This window comes from Homo sapiens, chromosome 15, assembly GCF_000001405.40.
Source record: "Homo sapiens chromosome 15, GRCh38.p14 Primary Assembly".
In the NCBI taxonomy this organism is placed as follows: domain Eukaryota; kingdom Metazoa; phylum Chordata; class Mammalia; order Primates; family Hominidae; genus Homo; species Homo sapiens.
This window is the reverse complement of record NC_000015.10, coordinates 85,749,460-85,765,138: the sequence shown is the minus strand read 5'-3', so window position 1 is coordinate 85,765,138 and position 15,679 is coordinate 85,749,460. Positions and strand designations below refer to the sequence as shown.

General features: G+C 56.6%; 1 protein-coding gene and 1 long non-coding RNA gene across 4 annotated transcripts in view, besides 4 other annotated features; both read left to right on the top strand.

The window, feature by feature from the left end:
• KLHL25 (kelch like family member 25) overlaps positions 1 to 5,813 on the top strand; it is a 35,600-nt gene extending 29,787 nt beyond the window's left edge. For all 3 annotated transcript variants that reach the window (NM_022480.4, XM_047432938.1, XM_047432937.1), the window contains exon 3: positions 4,128 to 5,813. The gene's annotated coding sequence lies outside the window, so the exon portion shown is untranslated. The remainder of the gene's footprint in view (positions 1 to 4,127) is intronic.
• Positions 285 to 1,017: an enhancer, noted in NCBI's record as "H3K27ac-H3K4me1 hESC enhancer chr15:86307353-86308085 (GRCh37/hg19 assembly coordinates)". NCBI's record gives its function as "activates a minimal SCP1, AML or CMV promoter by ChIP-STARR-seq in naive H9 embryonic stem cells {active_cell/tissue: H9 hESC(naive)}" and the evidence as "EXISTENCE:reporter gene assay evidence [ECO:0000049][PMID:30033119]".
• Positions 1,018 to 1,751: an enhancer, noted in NCBI's record as "H3K27ac-H3K4me1 hESC enhancer chr15:86306619-86307352 (GRCh37/hg19 assembly coordinates)". NCBI's record gives its function as "activates a minimal SCP1, AML or CMV promoter by ChIP-STARR-seq in naive and primed H9 embryonic stem cells {active_cell/tissue: H9 hESC(naive and primed)}" and the evidence as "EXISTENCE:reporter gene assay evidence [ECO:0000049][PMID:30033119]".
• Positions 2,486 to 3,219: an enhancer, noted in NCBI's record as "H3K27ac-H3K4me1 hESC enhancer chr15:86305151-86305884 (GRCh37/hg19 assembly coordinates)". NCBI's record gives its function as "activates a minimal SCP1, AML or CMV promoter by ChIP-STARR-seq in primed H9 embryonic stem cells {active_cell/tissue: H9 hESC(primed)}" and the evidence as "EXISTENCE:reporter gene assay evidence [ECO:0000049][PMID:30033119]".
• Positions 4,036 to 4,537: an enhancer, noted in NCBI's record as "H3K4me1 hESC enhancer chr15:86303833-86304334 (GRCh37/hg19 assembly coordinates)". NCBI's record gives its function as "activates a minimal SCP1, AML or CMV promoter by ChIP-STARR-seq in naive H9 embryonic stem cells {active_cell/tissue: H9 hESC(naive)}" and the evidence as "EXISTENCE:reporter gene assay evidence [ECO:0000049][PMID:30033119]".
• Positions 5,814 to 6,413: 600 nt separating the features above from the next.
• LINC02883 (long intergenic non-protein coding RNA 2883) lies at positions 6,414 to 10,198 on the top strand. The gene is made up of 6 exons (NR_120366.1): positions 6,414 to 6,628; positions 6,791 to 6,888; positions 7,150 to 7,255; positions 9,183 to 9,317; positions 9,484 to 9,621; positions 9,898 to 10,198. It is a non-coding gene; the product is annotated as a long intergenic non-protein coding RNA 2883 (long non-coding RNA).
• The last annotated feature ends 5,481 nt before the right edge of the window (positions 10,199 to 15,679 follow it).

The window sequence follows — 15,679 nt, the reverse complement described above, 5'->3', positions numbered from 1 at the left end:
GAGGGGGCCCATGCTGCTGGCCTCAGGCAGCTGAGACCATCTCTGGTCTGAGCCTCCAGACCAGAGGCTGCCCCCTGCCTACCCTCCAGGTCAGAGGCTCCCTCCCACCTGGCCCTGCCCTGTCAACTGGACCTGGTGAACCATGTACTCTCCCAGGAATTGCTCTGATCCCAGGGACCCTGGAAGGAGAGCATGCATGGTGTCTTGGTTGTGACTTTTTGGCTGCTTCACCCTGGACTGGCTACTTGATTCCCCTGAGGCTCAGCTTCCCCATCTGGACAACGGGAGTGGAAATTGTATTACTCATAGCACTAGAATAGAGATCAAGTGATTGCCAGTTTCAGAAGCAGCTTAAAAGGGGTAGCGATGGAGGACAGGGAGATGCTGATGCTGATGGTTTTGGGGTGCTGTGGGCTGCAAGGGCCTCTAGATGTCTCTGCTTAGCCCCTCCCTCTGAAAGGCCTGTCCACCCATGACTGCTGTTCCTCAGCAGGCACTTGCCCTGTGCCCACTGGAGTCCTCCTCAGTCTGTAATGGGATTGCTGTCATCAGCTCCATTTAGGGATGAGGAAGCGGACACACAAGACTGAGCCAGTCCCAGATCTGATGGGGAAGCTACTTCCAGACCCTGTCATCCCAGAGCCATGTCCCCAAGGCGTTCTGGGCTGTGTGCTTCCTTGGCTGCTGCGCTGAGTCCGGGTTGCTCTTAAGCTTCTGCCACTGCCTTGCGTTCCAGCTGCTTCCTTCTCATGGGCCTGGTGGCCATCCAGAGACCCTCCGCGCAGCCCCTCCTCAGCCTGAGGCCACCCCAATCCCGTGGCTTCTGTCCCCTCACTATGACCCTGGGTTGTTCCCATGCTCTGCAAAGCTCCTCCTGTCCAGCTTCTGCCTGGACAGCTCAGTGTCCGAGTTCTCTTCAAAGGCAGGGAGTGAGCTGGGCTCTCCATAGAAGGGCCTGCAGCCCAGAAGCCGCTGCCCGGGCATGCCTGGCCTTCCCTGGGTCACCAGGAAATGGAGCCACAGTGGCTGCAAGCAGAGCTCTCGCTGCTCAGGCGGCCACTGCGGAGCTGTCAGGGCTGAGCCAGAGGAGAGCCCCCAACTCAGGCAGCCGCAGACCGGGGCCAGGAAGGGTGGAAACAAAGCACTCCTGCCACCTCCCCCGCGGTGGGTGCCCCTGGTGACCATGGCACTTCCCACTGAGCTTGGCTGCCTGCAGCCCCAACCAGCGCATCGTCGTCTGCCACCTAGAATGTCGTCTGGCAGTGCCTGGGCCCGAGATGGCTTCTGTGACCACCCCGCTCCCTACGTTTCCCTCCCTGACGCTACTCTCCCAGGCAGCAGTGGGGATCAGGCCAAGGATGCTGGTGAGAAGTCCAGCTCTCGCTAGTCCCCACGAGCATGGCTGAGTCTCCTGCCTCCAGCTGGGCCCAACTGCCCCTGTCCCTGGAGGCCCCTTTCCATCCATCCTGTAAGACTCTGACGTTAGCTTCAGAAGCCACCAGGAGGTCCCCTGCACACTGTGGCCTCTGCACCCCAGATCATGGCCCCTGTTTGTCCACAAGCATTTTTTTTCCCCTGTTCTGGCCACCTGTTGGAGCTCTTCATAGGTGTGAGCGTCTGCATCGAGTTCCCTGTCATTCTCCAGAGCTGTTTGTCGTAGGTCCTGCTGTTGGAGGGCGCCCACTAGGACTCTGAGAGGTGAGACAGTTGGCATCACATGAATGGTGAGTCAGGGCTGGAGCAGGACTTGAGCCCTGAGTGTGCCGCCTGCCTGCAGGCGCCTCTGGGGAGCTGGCCACGGGCATCCTCACGTCTGCGCCCCTGGCACAGAGCACAGGCTTGGCCAGCAGCCGTCCAGAAGCGGCGGGGAATTGCTGAGCTGGAACCTGAGCGACCTCCAGGGCAGCCCCTTGCTCCAGTGTTGCGGTTGGATCCACAGCCTAGGGGATAGCAGCCAGCGGCTGCAGGAGGCCCCCGCTTACCCACTAAGGGTGATCTTGCTGTGAACATTCTCTCCTTCTCTCTCTTTCTCTCCCACTGGGCACCCCGTACTCCAGGCCCTTTAAGGCGCAGACTCCCAACCCTTCTTTCCCACCCGCCTCCAGCATGGGGGGGCTGCCGAATGCAAGGCAGGCATCCGGCTGCCGACAGCTTGTCTTCTCTTCAGGGTGTTGCTGGGGCCTAGCCACTGGGGTGCAGGGCAGGGTTCCAGTCCTGGCTCTGGGAAAGGCCGAGCTCATTAATCCACTGTGGGCTCCGTCACTGCTGCAGGAGGGACAGTACAGTACATTCTCTCCTGTCTTAAAGAAGTTGCTACAGATGGGAAATCCCAGAGCACAGGCCTGAGGATTTCTGCCAGCCTTGAGGGTTGGGCCTGGCTAAGCAAGTGCCCAGGACGGAGTCCGTCCGTCCAGGCATCAGCAGTCATTCGTTCCTGTGCCAGGCTGGGGGATAGAGCAGCATCCCACCCTTGATGGGGCAGGCTGAGCCTAGTGGGGCAGGCCCTACACCAACAACCCACAGGATGCACGTTGGCCAAGACCTGCTGCACACAGGAAGTGCAGGGCGGCCGCTGACCCTTGTCCACTCTGCAAGCTGGAGGATTAGCCCATTTCACAGTTGAGGCCAGGCCCCAGGGAGCACCTGCCAAAAATTAAAGGGACCCAGCCTGAGAGGGAACAAAGGGACCCAGCCTGAGAGGGAACACAGGAGCCTGGCCCCGAGGCTCCCCAACCCCTGTGCCTCTAGCTGTCATCTGTATTCCTTTCAGCAACTCAGGGTGCCTTGGGGGACACCCCCAGGTAGGTAGCGTGGCTGTTTAGTTCCAGGTAGCAGTGAGGCCTTGCCCTGAAGGGACCACATGTCAGCATGTGGCGTGCTGGGATGGGGCCAAGACCGGGCAGCCAGGCCCCAGAGGTTCGGGTTTGCAGTCTTAGAGCATCTCAGGATGGTTAGGGCCCCTGTGACCCCAGCTTCTCACTTGTGAGGAGCTTGAAGGGATTTGGGGGCCTTCTCAGTCGCCGAACCCAGCCTCTGTATCTGGAAACAACTTGAGCACGTGGGGAGGGCAGAATTCCTGCAAAGCAGCCTTCAGAGAACAGACGGCCCAGCACTGTGTGGGATGGAGAGGTGTACCCCACTTAAAGGGGACAGCCGTGGAGCCTCAGTGCTGGCTTCAGTGTTTAATTGAAATGTAACTAAGGTTACTTAATACACACAAGCATACAACTAGAAAGCCCCTTATGTTCTTGTTCTTACACAACTAAAACTAACACGTACAGCTTAAATACAACCAAAGCCAAAAACCGCGGACAGCGTCACCATTAATCACTGCTTTGCTGAGGCTCCTTGCCTTATGGAGTGCATGAACACTCAGGGTTGCTAGAGTGCTCCGCCTGCCTGTGCCCGCCTGTGCGAGAGGGCTCACCTTTTCCTTTCAGGGCCTCGGAGTGGTATGTGAGAGGGAACTTACTCTATTAGGGGAATTGGCTCACTTGGTGATAGAGGCTGAGAAGTCCCATGATAGGCTGCAAGCTGCAGAACCAGGAGAGCTGGGGACAGACCTCAGCCCAAGGACAAAGAGCCAAGAGCCTGGGGTGGGGGTGGGGTGGTGGGCAGCAAGTCCCAGAGGCCAGAGAACCTGGAGCTCTGATGCCCGATGGCAGGAAAAGAGCAACCTAGCTCCAGAAGAAAGAAACCTGAGTCCCCATTTCCTTAGCTTTTTATTCCACCAGGGCCCCTGCCCATCTGATGGTGCTCACCTGCAACCACGGCTCTCACGCCGGTCACCTCTGGAAGCACAGACTCACTGGGGCGGCCTGGCCATTCGAATCAAGTACCAAGCCGCCTGGGTTTCCCTTCCAGCACTGAGAATACGTAATGTGTCCCCGGGCGTCTGGGTATCCCCGAATCCAATCAAGTTGACACCTGAGTCACCTGCCACTCAGTGGGGAAAGCAGGCCTGGGGTGCCTGAATCACCAGACTGCGCTGCCGGTGAATGGTGGATCTGGCGTTCTCACGCCCGAGCCTCATGGGCAGCTGTGTCATTGTCATTTTGTTCCAGATCAGGTCAGAACAGAACAATGTGGCCACTGATTGATTTTCTCTTCCTCTCCTCCCTCCACAGACCGCGGCCTTCAGTGTCACAGCGTGGCCTTGCTTGTCTGCCACAGCGGGAGCTAAGCCGGCCCTGGGCCAGCACTCCGAGAGGTGGAAGGGGCCCTGCCAGCTCTGGGGAGCAGCAGCCTTGGGCTGTTCTGAGCTTTAGGCAAGAGAAGAGAAGCATCTCTTGCATCCGTGCCCCTGGGGGCCTCTTCAGCTTTGCAGTGGTTTGTGGGAAGACATACCTCCCAGAGGGGCATGGACTGCCACCAGGACTGACCCTGGCGTCGGGGAGAAGGACACTTGCAGAGCCTTGAGATCACCTGTTTGGCAGGTCCTGGACTGGGGCCGGGCAGGCAGGGGCAGGGAGGCGCCCCGGGTGGGCTTTGGGGCTGCGGCACTGCCACACATCCTTTCCCTCCTGGCCTGCCCTGCTGGGGCTCTACTGCCATCTATAGATGGTGTCCTGGGCCTGGGAAACTAGGTTCCCAGGGGTTGAGACCAGAAAGGTGACCAAGACAGATTTTTTAAGGTGCAGAAACTGCAGGGGGGCCTCAGTGACATCCATGAGGCCTTATTAGCAAAGGACACCCAGACCTCCAAGGTTTGTGGGCCCCTTCCACAAAGCTGTAAGTCCCAGCCCACCTACTCAGGGCCTTGCTCAGTGCTGTGGCCCGGTGGGGACACAGTTGCTCGTGGCCACTCAGTGGAGCTGGGCCTGCAGCAGACTCAAGGCTCCGAGTGCCCTGGGGGTCACCCCTCCCCTCCCCTCCTCAGAGCCCACCCTGAGAGGCAGCAGTGACCCCCATGGCACACACCTGCCAACAGCACTGGGGGCTTCTCCCCAGGAGACCACGCTGCCCTCCAAGACCAGGAGCAGCTGTGAGCTGGAGACAGCAGAGGGACCCCAGGGTGTCCCCTGCAGATCCCACCAGGGCCGCATCCATCTCAGTGTGGAGGACAGTGACGGGACCCTCACCATCCTCTTGCGTTTTGGCCCCCATTTGCTCCCTGAGCTCCAAGATAAGAATGGCCCCGAGAGAACTGCTGAACATTTGTTCATTGCTGTCACCTCCTGAGTCACTGGGGTCCCTCACCAGCACCTCCCTGACACCTGGGCTATGGAGAGGTTGGCGCCTGTCAGTGACCATCCTAATGCCTCTCGCTCACTCCCAAGCCACCATTTGAGAGGGAGGGGTGTTGGTGCCCTGACAGGGACTGGGCAGGGTGTCCAAACTTGGGGCTTCCCAGGCACCTGCAGTGTGAACACTGCTTGGCTGGCTCAAGATTAGGGCCGCGGAGGGGGCTGTGCACATACCAGTTACTTAAGCAGCCACGAGTGTCCCCCATGCCTTGGTGCGGGTCCTGGAGGCCTCTTGGGGGTGGGACCTTTGGGCAGGGTTTGCCCACTGACACGCCCGCCATGGGGCACTGGCTGCATGGGGCTCCTTGGACCCTGTAGACCCAGCAGACCCCGCCTGTGTCAGGCCAGCTGCCCGAAGGCACTTGGCTGTGGTCCCAGGGGACGGCTCTGCTGGCACACTCAGGAGCCTGGCCGCGGGGACTGCAGGGAGGGTGCCTGGACCCGTGGGGTTGCTTCATTGAGATAAAGCACACTTATCACATAGCACAAAGGACGTGCCATGGTGCTTTCCCCAAAAGTTGTGTTGCTTTTATCAGTTTTCTAACTTAATAAAAAGAGTTGAGAAAATTCTTTGCCTGCCTTGTGTGCTGGGATCAGTCTTGGAGACATTGCTGGTGGCTGACTTTGGTCTTGTCCCACCAGCCAAGGCTCAAGGCCTGCCTGCTGGCATCTGCCCCTCTCATGAGCTGGGAAGGGGGAACCCACCCAGATGAGAGGTCTCCCCATTCCTGTGCCTCCTGAAGTTGCTTTAGAAGCCATGAAGTTGATTCCGTGGAGAGTCCTGATCCTGTCTGCCCCTCCTGAGAGTGATTCTCTCCTGGAAACTCTGGTAAATAGAAGTTGGGAATGTAATTCCATCCATTCGAAAAGGCAGAACCTCCAGTTGATGCTCCTTTGTCTGAAAATAACCCGAGCGCCATTCAGAGGGGCGAAATGGCTCCAGGAGGCAGCTTCACGGCCGCAGCGCCAGCTCACGGCACCGTTGCGCCCACTGGTTGCACCGTGGGCCCTGGGCTACCTGCCCTCCTTGTGCGTTTTCATAGTCACCATGAACCTCATGAGCTCAAGCGTATGCTCACGGGTAAACATCGTGTTCTGTGTTTTGTGATCTCACCTTCAGGCGCCCCTCAGACAGCGGGCAGCCCGAGAAGGTCATGCCGTGGCGCAGCCTGCGTGCAGGGTGGCTCTGCTGTGAACAGGAACCCGGAGGTGCCCCAGCACGGTGGCTCTCAGCAGTGGCTTCCGTGGTGCTCAGTGGTGTGCTGGCCCACAAAATCCAAATAGCGCCTTCACAGTGTAAGAAGTGCTTCTGATGCTGGCGTAGGGGCATGACGCCAGATTCCTTAGAAAATGGAATGATCTTGAGCGGGTGTGTCTCAGAGGTGAGTATGGTGCGTGTAGAAGAGCCAAGAGCACAGAGGGCCTCGTCCCTCCCCCTGCCCAGAGGTGCAGCCCTGGGAGGGGCATCCTGGGACTCTGCCTCGCACTGTCTGCTCCTGTAGCAGTGGTGGGGACCACAGGTGAACGCTACCACTTCCACACAGGCCTGAGCGCTTCACTCTGGGCATCCAAAGCCAGGAGTTGGCTCCAGCTAGAGTCCAGACAGCAGCAGAGGTGAAGTTCCCTGTCACACAGTCACAGGGTGAGTGTGAGCCAGCTGTGGCCCACAGGGCTCCAACTCTCTCCCCCTCTCTCCCTCTCTCTCCAACTCCCACCCCCTCTCTCCCTGCCCTGCCGTCTTCCATGCAAGGCAGCGGTTTCCTGGTCCACCCTGGCCTTCGCAGCCCCGGCCATCCCATCTGCATTCCAGCCAGTGGAAAGGGGAGGAGAGAAAGTGATGGGCAAGCCTGTTTTAAGGGCATGTCCCAGAAGTTGCACCATAACTTCTCCATTTTCCCAACAGCTAGAACTCAGTCACATCCACGCCTGACTGCGAGCGGGACTGGAAAGTGCCCCGAGGAAACTCCAGGACTCCAACGCCAAGTAAAGGGAGCGTAGATATTAGACAGGTAGCAGCCTCTTCCTCTACATGCTGGGTCAGGGGTTGGAAGGAACCTGGGCACACCGCCCTGCCTCCCGCTTCTCTGGGAGCATGCAGAGCCGTCATCTGCCAAGATCCTGGCTCTTGTCAAACCCTTCTTGTCAAGCAGTTGTCAAGCCCACTGGCCAGTGCTTTGCATAACTACCTCCTTTAACCCTCACAGTGACCCCCGGAGGTAGACATTCTTGTCCTCTTCTTGCTGATGAAGAAATGGGTCCACAGGTCACAGTAACTTGCCCAATGTCTCATGCTGGAAAGAGGAGGAGGAGGAGGAGGAAAAAACACGGTTGCAACTGACAGAATGTGGATTTGGAGCTAGGCCCACCTGAGTTTGGGTTCAAGCTCTCACGTGTGGCTCTCATGTATGTGCAAGCTTGGTTAAACCACTTGATTCTCTGATACAGACTTAATGATAGTAGGGTTAAAAGTTGAGGTCAAATTCTATAAAGCACTAAACACCAGGACCAATGCCCAGATAGCCCTTTACAGGGGGAGAATGGCCGCCACATTACAGCAGTGGAACTGGGATTTGAAACCAAGCCATATGCTACATTGTGGGGGCTGGGGGCTGGGAGCAGTGTTGCTTCCAGTCATTGCCCAGCAGGCCTAGCTCCATGTTCCTTGGCCTCCCAGGGGTCAGACTGAGTCTGGGATGGGGCTTGGGGAAGGGAGAAGGCGCCTTCCCCATCAGTGATGGGGCAAGGTCTCCCTGGAAACCTCGGTCCCAAGATGGCCAGTGGAGCTTTCCTGGGTTGTGCCTGATGCAGGAAAGAAAACGGGCCATCTTGGAGGCTTTGGCATCCTGAGAGCCTGCCTGGGGGGACTGTCAAGTTGCCAAGGGCAAGGAGAGGGTAGCCAACTGCCTCCTCCACCTGGCTGCTCAGCCAGGTCTCCCTGCCTTCAAAGGACATTTCTTTGGTCAGGAATTGACAAGAATGAGCCCAGAGTCATCCACCCCAAGGGTGTGTGGCAACCATCCCTTGCTCAACACCGAAGGCTGTAGAATCATAGTGGGGAAAGAAGCAACTTCTTCAGAAGCAGTTGTCTAATGAGCACAGCTTGGAAAGAGCCTTGGTTCTTCTGGATCATCACTGGGGGGATATTTCGCAGAGCAAGAAACTTGCATGCCCCGTCCATCATGTCCCAGCCCCGGCCCCAGGCCCAGCCCCGATGGATCTGCCCGGCCTCTCTCCTTCAGGAGGTGGGAATGGTCTCTTCCAACTTGAAGAGGCCATGAAGGTGATCGGCCCCCCAGCTGCTCTTCTTCCCTCAGGCCCAACCCTACCTGACCTGCAGCTTGGCCCGCCCATGGCACCTGCAGAGGTTCAGGCCCTGCCCAGGGAGCCAGGGTGATTTGGGTGAATTTCCCAGAACGGGCACAGTATTGTCCTGCATCTTCCCTTGCCTTGTTGGGCTTTGGGATGTGGCTCTGCCTCATTAAAGGTCAAGGAAAAGCCTAGAATAGGCCGGAGGCTTCTTAACTTGGGATTTGGGATCAAATTCAGGGGGTCCATGCACTTGGGTGGGAGAAGAATGACACCTTTGTTTTCACTAACCTCTGACTGAGGTTAGTGATCAAGTGATCCGCCCACCTCGGCCTCCCAAAGTGCTGGGATTACAGGTGAGAGCCACCTTGCCTAGCCCCAGTCACTGTTGAGGTCACCATTTTAAAGCTGAGGAAACATGCTCAGCATGGCAGCAGAAGCTCTGGCAGTTTCTGTGTGTCTGGCCCCAGCTGCCCAGGCCCCCTGAACCTGAGGGGCCTTGCTCTGGCCCTGGGGTTGGCCTGGGTTTGGCACCTGGCGCTCGGGCCCCTGAGGGCTTGCAGTAGGGGAGCAGTGGCTTTTTTGAGTTGAATTTAGTAGGGCTGGACTCCTTTCCTGTCCTTTCTGCAGGTAAAGGAGATGAGCAGCGTTGCTCTGGTACGCAGAGAAGCTTCCAGACACTCCTGGGTTGCACGATAGATTAAGTAATTCTACTGATGGGCACCAGCTCCATGCCAGGACCCAGGGCTCCAAAGCCATTTCCAGGTAGACTCATCACAGCTTCTCCACTCAGCTTGCAGGGATGGTGGGGAACCAGGGAGGATGGGAGCAAGAGACACATCCTGCCAAGCCCACCCTGTGGTGGCTCTACCAGCGTCGGGACCGCAGAGGGAACAGGATGGCACAGTCTCATCCTGACACGTGCATGCAGGATAAATGCAGGCTCTGAGAGCGAGTGCCACGGATGACTCCTCCATGGCCGCACTTTCTTCACATTGGCTCCTGTGAGCTTCCTCAACGCTTTCGAAGCTGGCCCCGCTTCTGTCCACTCTGCAGAGTGAACGTTGAGGTACTCTGTGTCTCTCATCTGTACAACCCTAACTAGGGCTTCATCCAAGACTGTCGAGGAGCAGGTCCTGTCTCTCCCTCTCTCCATCTCCCCACTTCCCATGGAAAATAGTGAGATTTTTAAAATGGGAGTTGAGGCCATACCGAAAAGCCAGCACTGTTAAATGCAGCTGTGACATTTGCCTGAGAGAGGTGGCCGGGGTGTGGGGGGGCGGGGTTTCAGCTCCCAGTCTGCCCTCCAAGCTGGTGTTGCCAGCTGTGGCTGCCTTTCCTGTAGGCCTGCGAGGTCCCTGCCATGCCTGTCTCCTCCTCCCAGCAGTAGTGTGAGCTCTGCTCCGGGATCAAGGCCAGATCTTTGCAGCCCATGTGCTTGGCTCCCTCAGCTGAGCCTCAGGACGTGGGTCCTCAGTTTGTGCTGTGCAGCGTGAGGGGCCACACTGCAGTCAAGCCAGCTGGGTGCAAACAGCAGCTTTTCTTCTACTTGGTGGCCCTCCTTGGGAAGGTCCCTCTGCTCCTGTAACTTCATTTCCTCATTGATAACAAAGAAAAAAACAGATCATATTGCCTGTTGTAAGGATTGAACTAAATCGGGTAAAGAGGCTACTAGATTTCTGTCAATGATGTCCATTTCCTTTGCCCCATATACGTTTCCAACTTAAGAGAGAGAGTGTGTGTGTGTGAAAATTAACTAGAAAGAAAGTATTCCAGCTTTCTGGGGAGTTGAAGGCAATTTCAGTAAAAATGTATGTTTCTGGCCGGGCACGGTGGCTCATACCTGTAATCCCAGCAGTTTGGGAGGCTAAAGCAAGTGGATCACTGGAGGTCAGGAGTTCGAGACCAGCCTGGCCAACATGGTGAAACCCCCGTGGTGGCAGGCGCTTGTATTCCCAGCTACTCAGGAGGCTGAGGCAGGAGAATCGCTTGAACCCTGGAGGCAGAGGTTGTAGTAAGCCGAGATTGCACCACTGCCCCTCCAGCCAGGGTGACAGAGTTTGACTCTGTCTCAAAACAATAAACAACAACAAAAAGTTTCCCTTTTAGCTGTGGCTGCCAGGAAGCCCAGAGCCCACCAGGAGGTTCCTCACAGAGGCGGGTCGTCCCTCCTGTTGGCACAAGTGCTTTGTCCTCCTTCCATGGCTTGGAATTGTATGAGCCACCCCAGAGAAATGGTTACTGCAATCACAGGGTTCAAAGGACCTTAACTTCTGCTTGGAAAGCGTGCAGAGTCTTAAAAAACTTTGTGACTTCCTGATTTTCAGACTTTTCTCTTCAGGAGGCTGATCACCTCCAGGAAGATTGATTTCCTGTGTTGTTGGTGGGGACAGTCACCCCCAGGTCCAAGCCTCAGTGTGATGACTGAAAGAAGAGTGTTCTGGTCGGGTGCTTTGCTCAGTGCATGCTGAGCCCGGAGGGTCAGGCCATGGCTTAGCAGATCTTCCCCCGGCGACCTAGAATGTCACTGGGCATGAGCTGCGTTTGTCCAGGCTTGTCTGAGCTGGAGTCAGGGCTAGTGGGTGAGGAGATGTTTCTCTCGCTTCCCAGGTAAAAGCCAGGGCTTCAAATGCTTGTGGTGATGGAGAAAGAGCAGGAAGACACCAGGGCCACCTTCCTTGGGGGGAAGTAGTCTGGCACACAGGGCTTCCACCACAGAGAGGAGCTTTGTGATGGGGCCCCAGGCTGGGCAAGTCCTGAGGAACTCCTCTGGGATCTGGGGATGCGCTTTCCCAGAACCGTGCCTCTGCCCATGCCTGTTCCCCCCTTGCTTCCTCAATCACCCTTCTTTCATTTCACAAAAGAAAGTTATCTCTCGCCCCTCCTGAAACTCATTATGGTGCACTGCTCAGGGTGTAAAAACATCTGGGGCACCAAATGGACGTGTTAAGGTTGGGCAGCATGAGGGAAAGGTGGATTGCAAAGCATAGGGTTGTTAAACAGGGCAGTGCCTTTTGGAATTCAATTGACAAGCACATGACAAGATTCCATATCTTTGTGTGTCCATCTGCTCACCTGCCTGTCCATCCACCCATGCATCCACCCATCTACCCACCCATCCACTCACCCATCCACCTGCCCATGCACCCACTCATTAACCTACCCACCATTCATTCATCCACCCATCCACCCATCCACTTGTCCATCCATCCATCCATCCATCCCATCTACTCATTCATCTTACCTCCCTCCCTCCCCATTATTAAGTCATAATTCAGAAGTGAGATAGTTGTCACTAAAAATTTTTAGTTGTCAACTAAATAACATTTTAATTTAAATTTAAAAGCAATCAAACTTTTTTAATGGAAATTGAATTCTGAATTGGCCAATCAGTTTGCCAAGAAGTACTGGCTTTGCTAATGAGGTCACATGGTGGGTATTTTCTGTAAGTTGAACAACTTAAGGCTTTAGCCCTAAATATATTTGAAGCATGAAAATAATGCCCCAGATTATATACTTTGTAGCAGTTACACTTGTGATACCGTTTGAGAGCTAGACATAAGCCATGTGAAGGGTATATGGTTGTTCGCATTTGTTGTAGGAGGACACATGAACCAAAAGTGCCGATCAGTGGCTGTGTCTTCCCTCCAGAAGCCAGCACAGAGCTTGGGCGTGGGACTTAGCTGGATTTCCTCTCTGCCTTTTGGGGTGAGATACGGCTGATGCCTTGATGTGGAGGAGGAAGCAGCGGCATCGAGCCCATGCCCACAGTTGGCCTGAGGCCCACTCAGCACCTGGTGCCAACCCAGGGCAGTGAGAGGAGGTAGGAATTCCAGGAATGAGCCGGCTGGCCCTGGGCTGGTTCCAACAGGCTCCCTGCCCTGGCAGAGGCTCCAAATCTGAGCTTCCTTCCAGAGGAGGCCAGGCCAGGTGCAGCGATGGGGTTGGGAGTCTAAGGTAGGGACAGGAAGGGGTGACCCTGTAACCTGAAACAGTCCTATGAAAGTGGCCATTTTCCATTTGAAGGTCCCTCATCCCCAGGGAAAGCCCGTGGCCTAGGGGCGGCCACCTGTGAACTAGCTGGAGATGCTGTCTGCAGCCACAGCCCTGTCAGAAAAGAAGTGGGAGTCGCTGATGCTGCAAGACAGAGACCTAAACCGAAGTGTGGGGAGGACACTAGGAGGCCCCAAAAACCAAAAGGCCAGGGAGGAGCTCTCTTCAGACTCGGGACATGAATCCGGGGCCACTGCCGTCCGTGGCAGCTGTCCCGCGGCTCCGCTGACATGCTTCCAGATGAGTGCGCTGGGCCCCAGACTAAGCACTCTGCTCATCTCTTCAGCATCATGACGAATGTGCGCGCCACCTGCAGACTCTGCAGACCCTTCTGAAAAAGGAAATGGAGACAAAGGTTTAACAGCTTGGCCACTCGGCTACCAGCGGCAGTCCTGGAGTCTGTGCCCATCCTGGGGCCTCCGCGTGGCCCCCTCAGCCCCTGTCCATACTCCTCCACGACAGAGGGGACCCCAGTGTGCCCCTCTTCCAGGCTCCTCAGGGCAGGCAGCCCTGCTTTACTTGCCCAGCAGCCCTCTCCTTTGGACCGCAGAGAAGAACCGAGGTTGTCCAGGCAACCGCCACCTCAATCTCTGAAGCTGGGGGTGGGGTGGGAAGTCCAGGGACAGCTCAAAGGGAAGCAGTGACCAGGGAGGAAGGGAGAGAAAAGCAGGCTGGCTTCCAGCTGGTCCATTCCAAGAAGCCCTGTTATGACCCCCTCCCCACAACTCTCCCACTGAGGCCTCCGGGGTCCTTGTCCTCGGCAGGGTCCAGATTCTGTTTCCCAGGAAGAAGAAAGTTTCCCAAAGGCATGGGGAGAGAGGGGTAGCCCACACATCTGTGGGACTAGGGCTGTGTAGAGCAAGCCATTACCATATGAAAGGAGGAGGCCTTAGCGGGGGTGGGAAGGGCCCAGGCTGTCACTTGGATACCAAAGGCAGCTGGGGATGGCGGAAGGGGCAGGGGCGGGCAGGCAGCAAGGGAGGGCCCCAAACTGGGGTGGAGGGGGTAGGCTGCTGGGGCTCTGGGACCCACATCCTCCCCATTTAGGGCACATGCCACTTCCTCCCACTTGTCACTCCTCTCTGGCCCGGGGGGACACCCACAGGGGTGGCAGGACGGCGCTGGAACTGGACTGCTCCAGGACCCTCTGGATGATCTGCCACTGTGCCCCTGAAGAAACAGAGTCAAATTTTAAGGACAAAGGAGTCTCCGAAGACTCCAAAGAACAGGAACTGTGGCAGGGACGGGGAGGTGGGGGGCTTGGGGAGGCACTTCTTGCTGTGCAGAGGCTGGATGAGGGGGTTGTCACCCCCAGGCAGGGAGTTCAGGGAGTTCCAGGTCTGAGGTCTAACAATCTGCAGCTCAGCTCGCCCGCCCTCTGCTTCTGTGGCTGCTTCCAAGGAAATCGCAAGGCTTGCACGCTGCATGCCTCCTCTCCTCCCAAGCTCCTCCCTGGCTTTTTGGTTTTTGGGGCCTCCTAGTGTCCTCCCCACACTTCGGTTTAGGTCTCTGTCTTGCAGCATCAGCGACTCCCACTTCTTTTCCGGCAGGGCTGTGGCTGCAGACAGCATCTCCTGCTAGTTCACAGGTGGCCGCCCCTAGGCCACGGGCTTTCCCTGGGGATGAGGGACCTTCAAACGGAAAATGGCCACTTTCGTAGGAGCCACTTGGCGGTCAAGTCTGTGCTGTGGCAGAGGCTCTGGGCACAGCAGCATCCGTTAGGAGTGGGCAGAGACTTAAGCCCCTACTGAATGGCTGGCTAGTGTTCTTGGGGCCCTCTGCGCTTTGTGTCTCTGCTGTTCTGGAAGAGAATGGAATCTTCTCGCTCTTCTTGCCTCCCAGACAGAGCCTGTCCCTGGCTCAGAACCAGTTGCGGTGGAGAGCGGAGGAGGGAGGCCATGGGAACCACTCCTCTTGCCCTGCTGAGGGTGTCTGGGTGGATGAGGGCCACCGCGGACCCAGGCCAGGATGGCTGCTGTGGGGGAGGAGACCGCCAGGGCAGCAGTGACAGCCAAGAGCAGTGAGCGAGAGAAAAAAGACCAGTGTTTTACTGGCTTATGGGGAGGCAGCTATCACCAGGGCTACAAGACTCTGCAAAGAAACCCGTGCACTTCCAAGTTCGTGGTGAAAGGAAAGACACTTGGCAGCTGGGCAGGATTTTATTTTTTGAGACAGAGTCTCGCTCTGTTGCCAGGCTGGAGTGCAGCGGCACGATCTCGGCTCACTGCAACCTCCGCCTCCCGGGTTCAAGCAATTCTCCTCCCTCAACCTCCCGAGTAGCTGGGATTACAGGTATGTGCCACCACGCCTGGCTAATTTTTGTATTTTTAGTAGATAGATATGGGGTTTCACCACGCCCAGCTAATTTTTGTATTTTTACTAGAGGCGGGGCTTCACCATGTTGGCCAGGCTGGTCTTGAACCCCTGAGCTCAAGTGACCCGACCACCTCGGCCTCCCAAAGTGCTGGGATTATAGGCGTGAGCCACCACGCCTGGCCAGGACTTTCTTTTTGGTGACTGTCAGGGAGGGGCGGGGAGCTGGGAAGTGGCAGAGCGGGGACTCCAGGCAGCTTTGCCCAGGTTCTCTGCATTACTGCGAGCGGCACAGTTCTCCAAGGCCCAGCTGGACTTAAGGGTCTTCCTATAGGTCCAGAAAGCGCAGACCTGGAAGAGTAGGAAGCTAGTAATCTAATCTAAAAATGGAAGGCACAGGCTGTGCTGGTGGAGCCAGTGACAGCTGGAGCCCTGTGTGTCTCCAGGGGAGCCCCGACATTCCGGGATCAGACCCAGTGAATCAGCCGGGAGCTACAAGCAGAGAGGATCTTTCTTCTTGAATTAGTTTCTGGCAGTTGCTCTAGTTTGGGGGTGGGACGGGGTGGAGAATGTTAGCGAAGAGAGAGAAACTAACATTAAGGGAAGTCGCAGGCTCTATAGCAAAGTTCCTGTTCACTGTATTGATTTATCTGGAAATAGGAAGTTTTGGCTCTTGGCATAAACTGTTTGTTTGACTTTAGGGCTGATCAGTCACTCTCTGGGTTTGGGTCCCACTCCGAGAGAGTGAAATGCGTCCCCAG